The 14383-nt window shown below is 35.9% G+C and overlaps 1 long non-coding RNA gene and 1 pseudogene across 1 annotated transcript; both read left to right on the top strand.

The window, feature by feature from the left end:
• The first annotated feature begins 3736 nt into the window (after window positions 1-3736).
• LOC105375155 (uncharacterized) lies at window positions 3737-14140 on the top strand. Its single transcript, XR_927036.2, has 3 exons — window positions 3737-3865; window positions 13008-13080; window positions 13896-14140. It is a non-coding gene; the product is annotated as an uncharacterized LOC105375155 (long non-coding RNA).
• Window positions 7126-8117, top strand: LOC100419641 (CTAGE family member 5, ER export factor; annotated as a pseudogene).
• Window positions 14141-14383: the final 243 nt, after the last annotated feature.

Below are 14383 nucleotides of genomic sequence, written 5' to 3'. Positions count from 1 at the left end.
TTTGGATCATCTCTCTTTTTCTCTTGTTTTTAATAGCTAATGGTTTATTGTTTTTGCTTATCTTTTCCAAAAGTCAATTTTTTAAAAATACACTTCTTGGTAAATTTTTTCAGTCTCTATTTCATTTAGTTCTCCTCTTATCTTTATTATTTATCTTCTTATACTAATTTTAGGTGTGACTCGTTCTTGCATTGTTAGGTTGTTTATTTGAAATCTTTCCACTCTTGATGTAGGCATTTATTGCTATAAACTTTTAATATTACTTTGCTGTATTCCACAGAATTTGGTATGTCATGTTTTCATTTTCATTTGTTCCAAAATACTTTTGATTTCCATTTTAATTTCTCCATTGACTCCAATGTTTATTCAGGAGCATGTTTTTCTATTTGATAAAGAGATTTTCTATGTCTTTGATCATCTCTTCTCTTTCTAAATCTCCCAAAATTTGAATATTTGGTCATGTTATTATGTCCTGTATGTCATATAGTCTGTCTTCATTCTCATTTTTCTTATTTTTGTACATGCATTTATATTTACATGTGCATGTATTTATATTTATAATACACATTTGCATATTTTATATATTATAATACATATCATAATTATAATTATGTTATATATTATACATCATAATACATAATATAATATAATACATAATATAATATATTATAATAATACATAATATAATATGTGATACACAATATGTAATATATTTATATATTGTTCAAATGGATATGTTTATATATTTGTTGAAATATTCAATTATGTATTGTAATATATTATAGTATAATATGGAATATTATAATATTCAAAAATATGTATTGTAACATAATATAATATAGAATATTATAATATTCAAATATATGTATTGAATAAACAAATAATTACTTATTTATTATATAATTATATATTATTTATATTATTATTTTATATTATAATAAATACAAATAAAAAATTATATTAAGACTTTTCTATATTCATTAGAATTTTCTTCATGTACCATACATTTATTTTTAGGCTTGTTTTTAGACATTTTGTCATAATTCTAAAAATACAATATTTTGATAATCTAGTCTATTTTTGTTTTCTTTTCTCCCTATCTTTCCTTTCTTTAGGCTGTTTGTATAATCCCTGATAAAATGGCTATTAAAAGAATGAGAACAGACTTTCTTAAAGTATATTCTGGCTCTTTACTTTGGAAATTTTAAATCCTGGATGAGACAGAAAAATTGGAGGGCAAATAAAAATACTTTTGAGAGAAAGATGATGAGAACAGTAAATCCCCCTTTGTCTGTCACCTGACACAAACCCAAAGACACATGGGCATACCTGAAGCAGATTCCTTTAGAATTAAAGAGGAAGAAAAAGATAGATATATGGTCAGAGTGTTTTAAAGAGTGAATGTAGGGTAAGTCTAGACAGAAACATAATAATATCACCTTATAGTAATGTATCCAGTGCCCCACATGACTATAAAGTAGCAGCAAGTGGGGCACTGGATACATTACTCAAAGGTGATATTGTATTTCTGCCTAGACTTAGGGGATATACACATCCATGATGAGCAAGACAAGAAGAGCAGAGCCCCACACCCTGACGAAGGCTGGTCACTAAATAGAGTTCTCAGCACCTAGAAAATACTAAAGCAACATGTCCACAAAAACCAAGCACTCTTCTGTGTTCCACAAACTCCTATGTCAAACACACACCTGCACACACACACACACACACAGATATATTTATAGAATATTCACATTTTTATATTATTTTATTATGGTAGCAATATATTTCTTTTTTTAGTGTCCTCCCCTATTTCTGTTCTTTTGTAGACTCATTAGAAATAAAAGCATGGTACTACATTTCTCACTTCGCTATTTCAGATGGTAAATAACATACTGACATTTCAGTTGCTCCTCTCTAATTTTACTTAATTCTGTGAGTGTCTCAAATTTTAGAGTTATGTGTTATCTCAGAATTTACCATTTATTTAGTCTATATCTCTAGAGATTTGGGATATATTTTTTATAGTCTGAGATTTAAGAATAAAGTTATTTGTGAGTTAGATTTTTTTACATAAACCTTTTCATGTCATAGATTATTACCTACGTACATAACTAGAAGTAAAGCAGAATTATGCAATGCCTATTTGAGTCCACAGAGATCTCTCTGTTACAGCAACATAGTCAAAAGAAAGAGTATTGGTAGCAAATTTCTCCAATGCCCTCACCCTTGCAGGGCTGGATAGTTTAAGCAGAAGTAAGATTCTGGTTTATGGGTATGAATCATCAATGTGGCTGCTGTCTATTTATTTTTGTTTTTTTCTTTTAACATACAATAATTTTCATACAATAAATATATCCTCTTGGTATACAGTTCTGAGAGTGTTCATAAACATAAACAGTGTGTACTTAACTGTGCAAAAAAGATACACATATATTACCCCAAAATGTCCCTCTTTGCCCATTTGGACTCAACATATCTCCTACTCCCAGCTCCTGGCAACTAATCATCTATTCTCTGACCCGATAGTATTGCCATCGCAACAGTGACACAGAAATAGAATCAAACAGCACGTAGCCATTTAAGTCTATCTAGTTTTACTTAGCAGAGTGCAACTGAGATTAATACTTATAAAAGTTCCATATTTGCTTTGTAGCTCTAGGACTGTCTGTTCAACAGTATTTCTTTTTGAACACAAGCTGTCAGTATTACTTTTATATATTTGCAAGAAATAAATCATTTTTTATGTTGGAGAGAGTCATGTTAAAGTTTATTAAAATACAGCTTGGCAATCACCGTGCAAGCATGAATGAAGATTAATGGGTCCAACAATAAGGGGGCATAGAGAGCAATGAATGTGACTCTGTGGAGACCACTTCTTTTGGCATGGAATTTATAACTTCTTCAACACTGGATTTATTTCTGTTGTTTCATTAAATGGTCTTGTCAGTAAGAAATCCTGGGAAAGGTATCTTAGGAAGAAGAAATAGGATAAACAAAGAAACAGCAGTATGAGGACATCTGATACATTTGACCTCACAGTGCAATACATTGTAGTTACAGAAAGAAGTATGAATGAATCACAATTCTCTAAACTGTCAAGTGAATGGATTAAGGTGGATGGTCTATAGTACCTTTTTAGCATCTGATATTCTGTAGTATAGACATAATACCACTGAGTTGTGTCCTGCTAAGCAAGTTTAATATGCAATAGATTGTAGTGTGAGTTGAAAAACAATAGACAAATTCTTGGGAACTTGTTTAATTATTATTTTTTAATTGATAGAGCCATTTGGCAATAACTGTATATCAACTTAGCTTTTCTCCTTTTTCAAAGCCATTTTGTTGATGTATGACTTATGATTAGCAGGCAAAAAGCTGGATTTTAAAAAAATGTATATGACTTGATTAATTTGGAGGTATGTATACATTTGTGAAACCATGACCAAAATCTATTTCATAAATGTATTCATCACTACCAACTCTTGTTTGTTTTAAACATTTGAGAGAAAAAATTGGAGAACAAAGTGGCTGAGTTTTTAAGCTTGGTCTCTCAGCTTAGGGGGTTGCAGAAGCAACTCTATCTACTAGGACCAATCATGGGCCTTATTTCTAACTCCACTACAACCTACTGAATAACTGTATCCATTCACACCTTTGTATTCCTTATCAACACAATTCAGAGTTTTAGCAGATTCAACTTTATCAGACCAATTTTTTTTTTAGGGTCATCAATGACTCAGTTACTGAGCCATTCCCTGGGAATAACATCTTGACTAAACATAATCTTTATCTTCAAGGACCTCTCATTATTCAGTGGAGTAAAGACACGGGGAAATGGGGAATTTTCATGCAGTCGTTAGAGGTAAGAGCTGAAAATGTTAGGTATATGGTGCTATGGGAGTCCTTGTTGGTGGGTCAAGAAAACACTGGAAAAACTAATATGTCAGCCGAGAGTTAAGCCTGAGTAGGTGATAGTCAGGTAAAAGGTAAGGAACAGAAAGCCTTCTGGCCTGGGAAGCACTATATAAAAATATGAGGAAGAGCTTGACCAGATTAGATAACTGAAAGTTGTTGAGTGTGGGAAAAGTGGTATATTCTTGTGGGAAAAAATGACAAAAATGGAGATGGGACCACTCTGAAGAGTCTTGTAGTTTTTGGGCATGGGGCTTATGCAAAGGGCAATGGGGATGAATTAGCAGCTTTTCAACAGGAATGTGGGCAAAAGCAAGAAAATAATTTAGACTGTTTGTAAACTAGATGAGAGGCTATGGTGGCCTAATCATGCAGTATCAGAAGGGAAGAAAATGAATGGAATTGAATGATGTTAAGGGAGCACAGAGGTTTTGGGGACTGCCAGACAGTGAGAGCTGCAATGAAAAGAGGCAAGGATGACTTGAAGATTTCCAGTTTAAGAGAAATGAGGGAATTATTCCTGCAATAGAAAATTATGAAGGGAAGTTTTTCAAGCAGGTGTGTGAATGGTGCAGGGTTGGACATATGCCCAGGGTTGGACATATTGTGGTCTGAGAGACCAGGGGGCAGCTCTTCAATAAGAATTTCAATCTACAAGTATGAAGTTAGGAGAGAGGTTTGAGCTGAGAGCTCTGGAAACATCATCATATAAGTGGTGACTGATTACACAAGTTGGATAGAGTCAAGTTGCTCCTTTCATTTCTAAAATCCTGTGAATGCTGCAGAGAAAGAAGGATGCTGCTGTTGCAACATTAAAGTCTTCTCCCTCCCACCTTTCTCACTGAGACCGAAGGTAGCAGGAACACCTTCTGAGAATCACGGTCATTTTCATGGACAATCAAGCACTGGAGATAAGACAGTTAAGGATGTGTGGGCAGGGATGATAGGGGCACTGTCCCTTCCAACTAATCCTTGTCAGGCTTCATCTATGGGGAGCCCACCTCTGCAGTTTCTACTACATGAGGCAAACATCAAACTTTCTGGATGAACCGAGATGTGTAATGTTTCACTTGTCAACTGACAAAGACACTCTCCTGTATGACTTGTGCACTTGGATGTTCAGTGTTAACAATGTTGTTAACAAGAGCTACAGTCTTATTCCACCCCTCTTTTGAAAGATCTATGTAAATCCATGGGCTTGTTTGTTTATTTGTATTTATTGCAAAATAATGCCGAAGCACATATTTCTGATTCATGCTATAAAACTGGAGAGGTTTCTTCTTTAGGCCCATGGAGAAAAGCATGCAGTGCCTAGTCATGCTTATCCAATGAAGCTGATTAGGCCTGTACTTTCTTTTCCCACTAGCTCACATTTAAATTTTCATTCCTATCTAAAATTTAGTAATAGCTCAATTTATCAAGTGATTACTACATGCAGGAATGGGGATAGTGGTTTTCATTCGCTATCCCATTTCACCCTCACCATAACCCTAAGACATATATATTTATACCCTTATGTTAGAAATAAGGGAGCAAAGACACATTGGGACCTACAACTAAGACTCTGGAAAGGTCCTCCCAGCCATCAAGTCTAAGCTCTTAATTTCTGCACAATCAGATCAGACATCTCAAATCAGAAATCGCTGTATTATTGAACTATCATTTGGACACTGAGGTCACAGAAACTATGCCAGACTTACTGAAGTCATGAAGATTTCTGATCCTCCATTCCCTCATCTAGAACCTCTTCAGCAGAAGTTGCTGATTGGCAGTTGTCTTATAGTGCTGTTTCTTTGGCCTGAACAATGTTTTTGTTTTTTAATTTTTTAAAATAGTTATGGATTTAAAATATAAAGTGTATTACAAACAAAAGAAGAGCCCTTTTCTTTCCAAGGAAAAAGCAGAATGGAGTTGTTCGTGGCAAAAAAGTGAATGGAGTTGTTTATAGCAAAGTCTCAAGTGTAGGCCAAAAGGGACTGGGGACTGTGACTGAAAGAAAGAAAATAAAATTGCTCCCTCCCCAAATGCAGCCCCAAATCTGAAGATGGCTAGGTGGTTCGGAAACTATCCCCAGGTCACTCTGAGATTCACACAGCCATTGCTGAAGATGATAGATTCAAATGATGGAAGGATCTTGAGTCACTAGGTCACACGTAATAGAGTCTCCCGCACTCTGAACTGCTGGATTGTACCGAGACAAGTTGGCAACACTGGAAATCCATGAAATGTGAAGACATTTCAGGTCTGGCTGATTTCTCCCAAATTCTTACAATTGAAACCCAAGCAAGGTAATACTTTTGCTGAAGGCTTTCATTCCTCAGTGTCTGGCAAAACACAAAGGAAGGAAGGTGATTCCTCCCAGAGGAGGGAAATTGCTATGATCTTAGTAAACAGGATGGATGAGGCATCTACATCTTGTAGAAGGAACTTTCAAAATCCAGAGAAGAAAGAGCCTTACCCAGGGACATGGGCACATGAATCCACTACTGCAGTCTGCCCTACAATTATATCTTGAAAAGCTCATGTATGGAGCATGGGTTGTGACATGGTGCTGACTGGATCTCTTGGGTTCTGTAGGATCAGGTGTAGCCTCTGGTCACAGCTCACGGGCTAATCTGTTTAATCTGTTCTAGCGGTATTCAGCTCTTTCCATCCACACAATGTACTATACAAATAATAACCCTTTCTATTTTGGCAGTAACTGGACCAAAATTCATGAGCACTAGTTTATAACACAAGCTTCTTTTTAATTTCAACTCCACTGATGGTTGGTGCTGATGCCAGGTACTTGGCTTGGTTTGAGGTAGAACGCTAACAATATTCCAGACAGGCAGTTATGGTTCACCAGTTGTTGGTCAGAGGCAGAGCTGCAGTGCCCACACAGAGCCATGGAGAACCTGCCATCACCAGAAAAATGTCCTTCTGGCTAGTCCTGGAGCATCTGCAGTGTTCTGATGATGTTGTCTGGATTAATCTTCCCTTGAAAATCTTGGTATATGCAACTTTGGTTGTTTTTATAGTATATTGCTGATGTACATTGAAGGAATGCGAGCTAGCTAAAAGATTTTCTGCCCAAGTTGAAGAATACAATCATGTCGGTTTAAAGATTAGACCGAATATACATGCCTTTGAAGCCCTCAAGTCACCTGCAATGGAGACTAGTCCTCTGAACTTTTGAAATTTTGTGTTTGTCAGCACTTAATAAAGATGTGAACCAGGTCCACATTTTCACTGGAAGATACAGTAGACCTTGACAAAGAACAAGCGGGAAAGGCCTCTAAAATGTCATTTAATAGAGTGATGATGGCTCATTTTCAAGGACAGATATAGTCACTCAAAGAGACATCAGAATTCTACCAGTTCCGTGATTGAGGCCAACAATATATGCATCTCCGAAGCCTGTATGCAGAACAACATCAGAAGGGCATAACTATAACTTTGATAAAAATGTACAGTTATAGGAAAGCCTAAAGGTGCTTGTTCCCTGCATGTGAATGACAAGAAAGAGTGTAAGAACTGAAGGAGCAGAAAGAAATGCTTGCAAACTTTAGCACATAAGAGAACAGGTTGTAAATGATAAGTAGAGCTAGTTAAAATCTCTGTCTAAACTGTGCTAAAGTGTGAAGAGAAGATTATATGAATGAGACAAAAGGAACCAGACTAAAACAGTACGTCAGAAAATGAAGACCAAGAGTATCAGTCTCAAGCCAACAGGAAGAAACTCATCAATACTGTTAAATATTTCCTTTTAAAAAAACTTGAGACAAAAAAAAGAATATTTAAAAGGTTATGTGAATAAAATCAAATGTAGGAAGCACTTGTAGTTCCAGTCAAAATTCTCTAAGCACAGTAAACACAGTGTTGACAATACACAGTTTGAAAGCTAGATTCAAAAGCTTTAGCTAAAGCACCAGACACTGCTTGAACTACATCAAGAACATGAAATGCAACTTTGCAGAAAATCAATAGAGAAGGGAATTAACTGCTTAGAAATAGAAACGTCCCGAGGTATATGCAAATATCTAAACATTGACTTCTACAGAATGATGGCCAAAGACTTAGAGAAACAATTGGAAAACATCATTTCCTTCATCAAGGTTGAAAAAATAGCTCAAGAGAGTTGCTTGGCAACTCTGTCAACTGAGAGAAAGCTCAATGATCTAAGAAAGTCAAATGATCATAATAAGCAAAAATGGCTGAGTTAGAGTCTGAAATCCAGCTTTTTGCAGGTGACCTCTTAGAGCGTACTCTTCTGTATGCAGCCCAGGGCAGTGGCCCTAGAGGGTCAGGGCATCCCCTGCATCCTCAAAACCCCAAGGCAGTAGGAGGGGTGAGCTGTGAGGGCTCAGGGAAGCAGGGAGATGTGCAGGTTTGATTTAGGTTTAAAGCAGCAAACCCCTGAACATCCACAGGTAGAACAGGACATCTGATGTGTTTTCTCTCTTTAAAATAATTCTGACTCATGTCTTTTAGTTGAATATGTTACTTGATGGTACATTTGAAATTTTATATTATTTTAATTCCTAAAATAGTTTCCAAAATATAGATAGCTTTAATCTAATTTTTAAATATATAATATCAATTCCGGGAACTTATTAAAATTAAATCATGTAAGTATTGTATTTTAATTTAATTAACTGACCCACTACTGTTTAAACCATAATTGAAGTTTTACATGACCAGGTGGAGACATCTAAAACATTAGAAACAGTTTCTATATGCTATGAATTGCAATAAGCCATCTATTAAAGTAACTTCATTTTTACCTCAATACTGATTGGCATTGAGGTAAAATAATACACAACACACACACAAATAACAAACAAAAAAATAAACTATAAATACATCCTCAGTTGAACTTACTAGTATTTTTATTAGATTAGCTCTAAATTCATAGGTGAATTTTGGGGAATAGACATTTTGCAAGCGTTTGTTTCTTATTTTGTTTTTTCTTTCTGACCTTTGTAATATTATTTATGATGTTGTTTGATATTTAAATGTTTCCAAATTTTGCACTGTGACAATATTCTCTTTTGGACTTTGGACTTCATTTTATTTCTTTATTTTTTAGACAGGGTCTCACTTTGATGTCCAGGTTAAAGTGCAGTGGCACAGTCTCAGCTCACTGCAGCCTCAACTTCCAGGCTCAAGCCTGGAATATTTACCTCACCCTCCTAAACAGCTGGAACTACAGGTGTGCACCATCACACTTGGCTAATTTTTTGTTTTGTTTTGATTTTTGAGGAGATGAGGTTTCACTGTGTTGCCTTGGCTAGTCTTGGAACTCTTGGCCTCAAGCAAGCCTCCCACCTCAACCTCCCAAAGTTTTGGGATTATATGTGTGACCAACCGTGCCTGGCTCGGGCTTAATTTTTGACTTGGAAAGATCTTCTGAATCTAACAATTAAAAAAATTTCTTTGTGTTATTTTTATTATTTTACTTTTTTGTATTTGAGGTTTTGATCTTGCTCTGTTTTGTGTAAGAAATAAATTAGAAATTCAGCATTATTTCCTTCTCAAATGTTTAGCCATTTATCCCAATATAGTTTATGAGATAACTCATGTTTCCAATTATTCGAGAAGTTTTATTTCTTGCTTTCCAAATTCCCCTATGTATTTAAGGCTATTTACACCTAATTTTAAAGTAATTATTGCTTTCTAATATGATTTATAAGCTCATGGGAATAGCTACCCTCCATTATTTTGAAATATTTCTTTCATATTTTTGATATGTTTAACAATCTGGCATGTTCAGTACTCCCCACCCATATCATAGCAAACTTATTAAGATTTAATTAGCACAAATTTTATAGATTATTATAGGAAAGTGACTTTAAAATGTTGTTTTATTCCCACAAAATATCATACCTTCATATTTACTTCAACTCTTCTTCATATATTCATGTATACTTAAGCTCTAACTGAACCCTTCAGAATTAGATCATCTAAGCATTTTAATAGAATTAATTTTTCCACTACTACTGAAACCATAATTGAGATTTTACATGACCAGGTGGTATTACTGAAATAGTGCAATGATGAGAAAGTGTAGTCTGGAATAAACTACACCGTGACTTGAAACAACCAGACTCTTGAAAATGCATTTAACTATAGAAAATTTTCTATGCCTAACAGTGCCTAGAGGCAATTAGAGCCAATTTGGAAAGATCATATGTATTAACTAGATTTTCTCTTTGTTTAGTAAGTATTTGAAGGGAACAATTTAACTGAGAGGACAAAGCAGTTCCGCTTTTTAGCAGGCAGTTTGGCGCCCTCATGCATCTGAAGCCAGGTCTCGCAGCTGGTGCCACACAGGCAGCTCTGACTGCTGGAGCTCTGGCCTGGACTTTATTCCTAGCTCCCTTTTGAATCTGCTGAATAATTTTGTCCGCTGAGGACACGGACCTATCATTCCACATAAGTAAAATTCATAGTTTTGCTAGATTCAATTAAATCAGGCAAGTTTGTGTTGAGTATCAATGGTGTCTCAGGCATTCAGCCAACCCTGAGGATAACGTTGACTCAGAAACAGTCATCTTCACAGACCTCACAGTTCGGTGGATTAGACAGGAAAAGGGGGATTTTTAATGCAGTGGGTAAAAGAGCTGTGAGAATGTTAAGGACAGTTGCTGTGAGAATCCTTCTTAGTAGGTTAAGAAAATTCTAAGGAGAATAAGGTGTTACAGCTGAGGCTTAAGCTTAGATAGGAGAAAGCCAGGTAAAGGTGAAGAAGAGAAATACTTGAGACCAGAGATCCAATATTGTGAGGAAGTACAAGAGGGATTGGTCAGTGTCCATAATCTCAAGTTGTTTACTGTGACTGGAGGGTTGTATTGGAGTAGGAGACTTAAAGAGAAATAAGGTTAAAGAGTAGCTAACGCTGTAGACTCCTGTAGGTTACCTGTGGAGCCACTGAAAGAGCTTAAAGAGGTGAGAGAGCACAAATAAAGAGAAGAAGGCGAGTTAGTGTCCTCATCAGCCTGGTGAGATGCAATAGTCATATACGATAATGTATTGTCAGAGAAGGCAAAAAAGTGAATAGACTGCAGTGATATTAGGGAAAAGGACACGTTTTAAAAGCTGAATGGCTACAGGGATGAAGTAGAGAGGGTCAAAGATGTCTTCCAGGCTTCTGTTTCAGTGGAAATAAAGGAATGATTTCTGAAACAGGAGATCATGAAGAGAAATGTTGAAGTGGGTGTGTGAATGGTATAGAAGTCCTGAGGGAACACATTGGTTTCCTGAGGTTTAGGAGGCAGCTGCTCAATGAGCATTTGGATCTATAGGTCTTGACTCAGGGTAGTGGTTAGCACTGAACAAGATTTTGCAATCACCAGTATATAGACCATTATTAACCACATGTGTTTGTATAAAGTGTTCTCTGTCTTCCATTTCTGAAACCTGTCATAGAGGCAGAGGAAAAGAGATCCTATTGTTGCAACATTAATATGTATTTCCTCCTCCTATCTTTCTTCCCTGAGGCCTAAGGTGACAAGAGAGTGTTTTGGGAAGTGTGATCACCTTCCTTGGTAAATCAGCATCTGAGAATAGAAGGTAAATTATATCTTGTGGCAATAATTGGTTACCCGGTGATATGGTTTGGCTCTGTGTCCCCACCCAAATCTCATCTTGAATTGTAATCTCCACATGTTGAAGGAGGGACCTGGTGGGAGGTTATTGGATCATGGAGGCAGTTTTCCCCTTGCTGTTCTCATGATAGTGAGTGAGTTCTCATGAGATCTGATGGCTTAAAAGTGTTTGGCAGTTCCCCCTGCACTCTCTGTCTCTCCTGCCACCATGTAAGACATGCCTTGCTTTCCTTTCACCTTCCACCACGACTGTTAGTTTCCTGAGGCCTCCCCAGCCATGTGGATCTGTGAGTCAATTAAACCTTTTTTCTTTCTTTTTTTTTTTTCTTTTGAGATGGAGTTTTGCTCCTGTTGCCCAGGCTTCCGTGCAATGGTGTGATCTCAGCTCACTGCAACCTCCGCCTCCCTGGTCCAAGAGATTCTCCTGACTCAGCCTCCAGAGTAGCTGAGATTACAGGTGTCCACCACCATGCCCCACTAATTTTTTGTATTTTTGGTAGAGATGGGATTTATGTTGGCCAGGCTGGTCTTGAACCGCTAACTTCAGGTGATCCACCCGCCTTGGCCTCCCAAAGTGTTGGGATTACAGGCGTGAGCCACTCCACCAGGCCCCTTTTTTCTTTATAAATTACCCATTCTCAGGTAGTTCCTTATAGCACTGTGAAAACAGACTAATACATATGGGAAATAAGAGCCATAGAAATCTTGTGTTCATTTTTGTTATTGATTTTAAATTATTCTTGATTATGATATGATACATTAGTGGTATAATAAATAACTTCTTAGAAATTAATTAAGGTATACTTAAGGAAAAGCAATATAGCATGATTGAATAAAACATATGGGGTAGGCAGAGTGTCCCTTGTCAAGATAAAGAGTTAAGATACCAAAAATATATTAAACCAACTTCACAGATTTGCTCAGGAACTACCAAACAAATATATAGAAGCCAGATCCAGAGGCTACATATAAAATCTTTTATGAGGAAAATCATCTGCAACTCATACACTAATCCCAGAATGCATCTGTGAGTAGATAACAAAGCCCATTGTTTGGAAAATAATTTTGAAGTCCAGAGAATATTAATTTTAAAGTACATAGGAAGATTTTTTTCAGAAATAGGAATTTTCAGTAGGCCTTGATAAATTAGTAAACCCAGATGGAATATGGATGTCTTATTGTTATTTGATAACTTAAGTGGAAAAATACGGTCTCAGATAATTTGGTGATGTGACATTTCATTTTATAAACTAGTTGTTACTTACAGGGTATATCTATATAGGCATACTTGTAGTATTGTAGCAAAATGGATTCCAGAGGAAACTGCTGAATTTATATTAAAATAACTTGTTCATTATCAAAACAAGATCATCTTTAAAAATCTCATATTGCTTTGTACACTTGTTATAGAATATCCAAAGAATTAGGAAAAATAGAAATTCAAATTATTTAAACTGAACTTGTATTTTGCTTTAAATGTTGGCTGAAAACTCTTCATATCAGTTTCTTCTAGATAAAATTGGCACTGAGTTTATACTCAAATGAGAAGGCTGAAAGGAGTGAGGAAGTGTCATAGGTGAGTCTGAAAACTGAGCAATTAAGGTAGAAAAACATTTCAAAGAGCTCCTAGTTTAATAGATTGTATTCTCTTCTCCTTGCTTAATATTTCTGAAAAGTGAAAGCTTATGCAGTTGGTATGCATGAAAAGACCAAAATATAAGTTAAACCAGGTCATTTTAACATTTTAACTTCTGTGATTAATTATGTTTAGACACAGACCACTTTCCTCATAATTTTAGGAGCTTACTGCCACCTATGGATATGACTGGAGTATTACAATTTTCATTAGTTAATACAGTTCATCAATATTTATTATCAATATTGAATATTGAGTTAGGTACTGGGTAATCACATATGAATGGCTTATAGTATATTGGATGAGATAAACAGATAAAATTTCAGCATGATGAAATAAAAACAAATGTATTGAGACAAGAGTAAAGTTTAGTTTTCATTATGCGGATGTACAAAGCAGGAAGTATTAGGAGTGGAGGCTAAACCTTAGACACAATCCAGACAATGGCCAGATGTGTAGATTACAGGTGGTATGCTATGAGTTGAATCTTGGTCATTTTGTGTTCATTTGTTGATGGTATGAATATGAAGCTCAGGAAAAAGATCAGGACTGGAGGAGATACTTATGTATGAGCTGGTGGGTAAGAACAATAGGTACATTTGAGAGTGAATGGAACATACGATAATGTAAAGACAAAGTTTAGGTAAAGGAAAATTAGGAGAAACTAAGGAAACAGTTGCCCTTTTAATTATTATAACTGTGTCACAGAACTCTTTAAAAAAATGTATTAAAACATATGGTTTCTTGTTTTACAGCAACCTAGCAAATGCTGATTCTAGAAAAAGCCAACTTAAAAAAAGCACAAAAGCTTTGCATTATTTTTACTTGCCCTTGCCTCCCACCTACCCCGACTCAATGACAGTTTTGAAGCCAGCAGACTGCATTCTCAATAAAAGACCCTGGTTCCTGGTTCCGGAAAGGGCAGAGTAGTAGAACTTATTCTTAAACATAAATATTATTACTTTGTTTGGTAGTTTTGTCCTGTCGTGTAGCTTCCTGGAGGACAGACTCAAGGTATTCACCTTTGTTTTGTGCAACTCAGAAGTCTCTTAGGGCAGAAAAATGGCTGAGCAGAGTACATTCCTCAATAACATTATAAATCAAATGAAAAAACTTCATGCCATCTGGGGTGAGAGAGTTCAGTTGACACAAATAATAGAGACTCTAAAAACCTGGGGGAAAAATGTGGAAAGAGTTATTTGGGGAAAATTAGGGCATTGAAAAGTGCCAGTATACTGTGGAG

Source organism: Homo sapiens, chromosome 7 (genome assembly GCF_000001405.40).
Source record: "Homo sapiens chromosome 7, GRCh38.p14 Primary Assembly".
Classification (NCBI taxonomy): Eukaryota; Metazoa; Chordata; class Mammalia; order Primates; family Hominidae; genus Homo; species Homo sapiens.
This window is presented reverse-complemented; position numbering and strand designations above follow the sequence as displayed.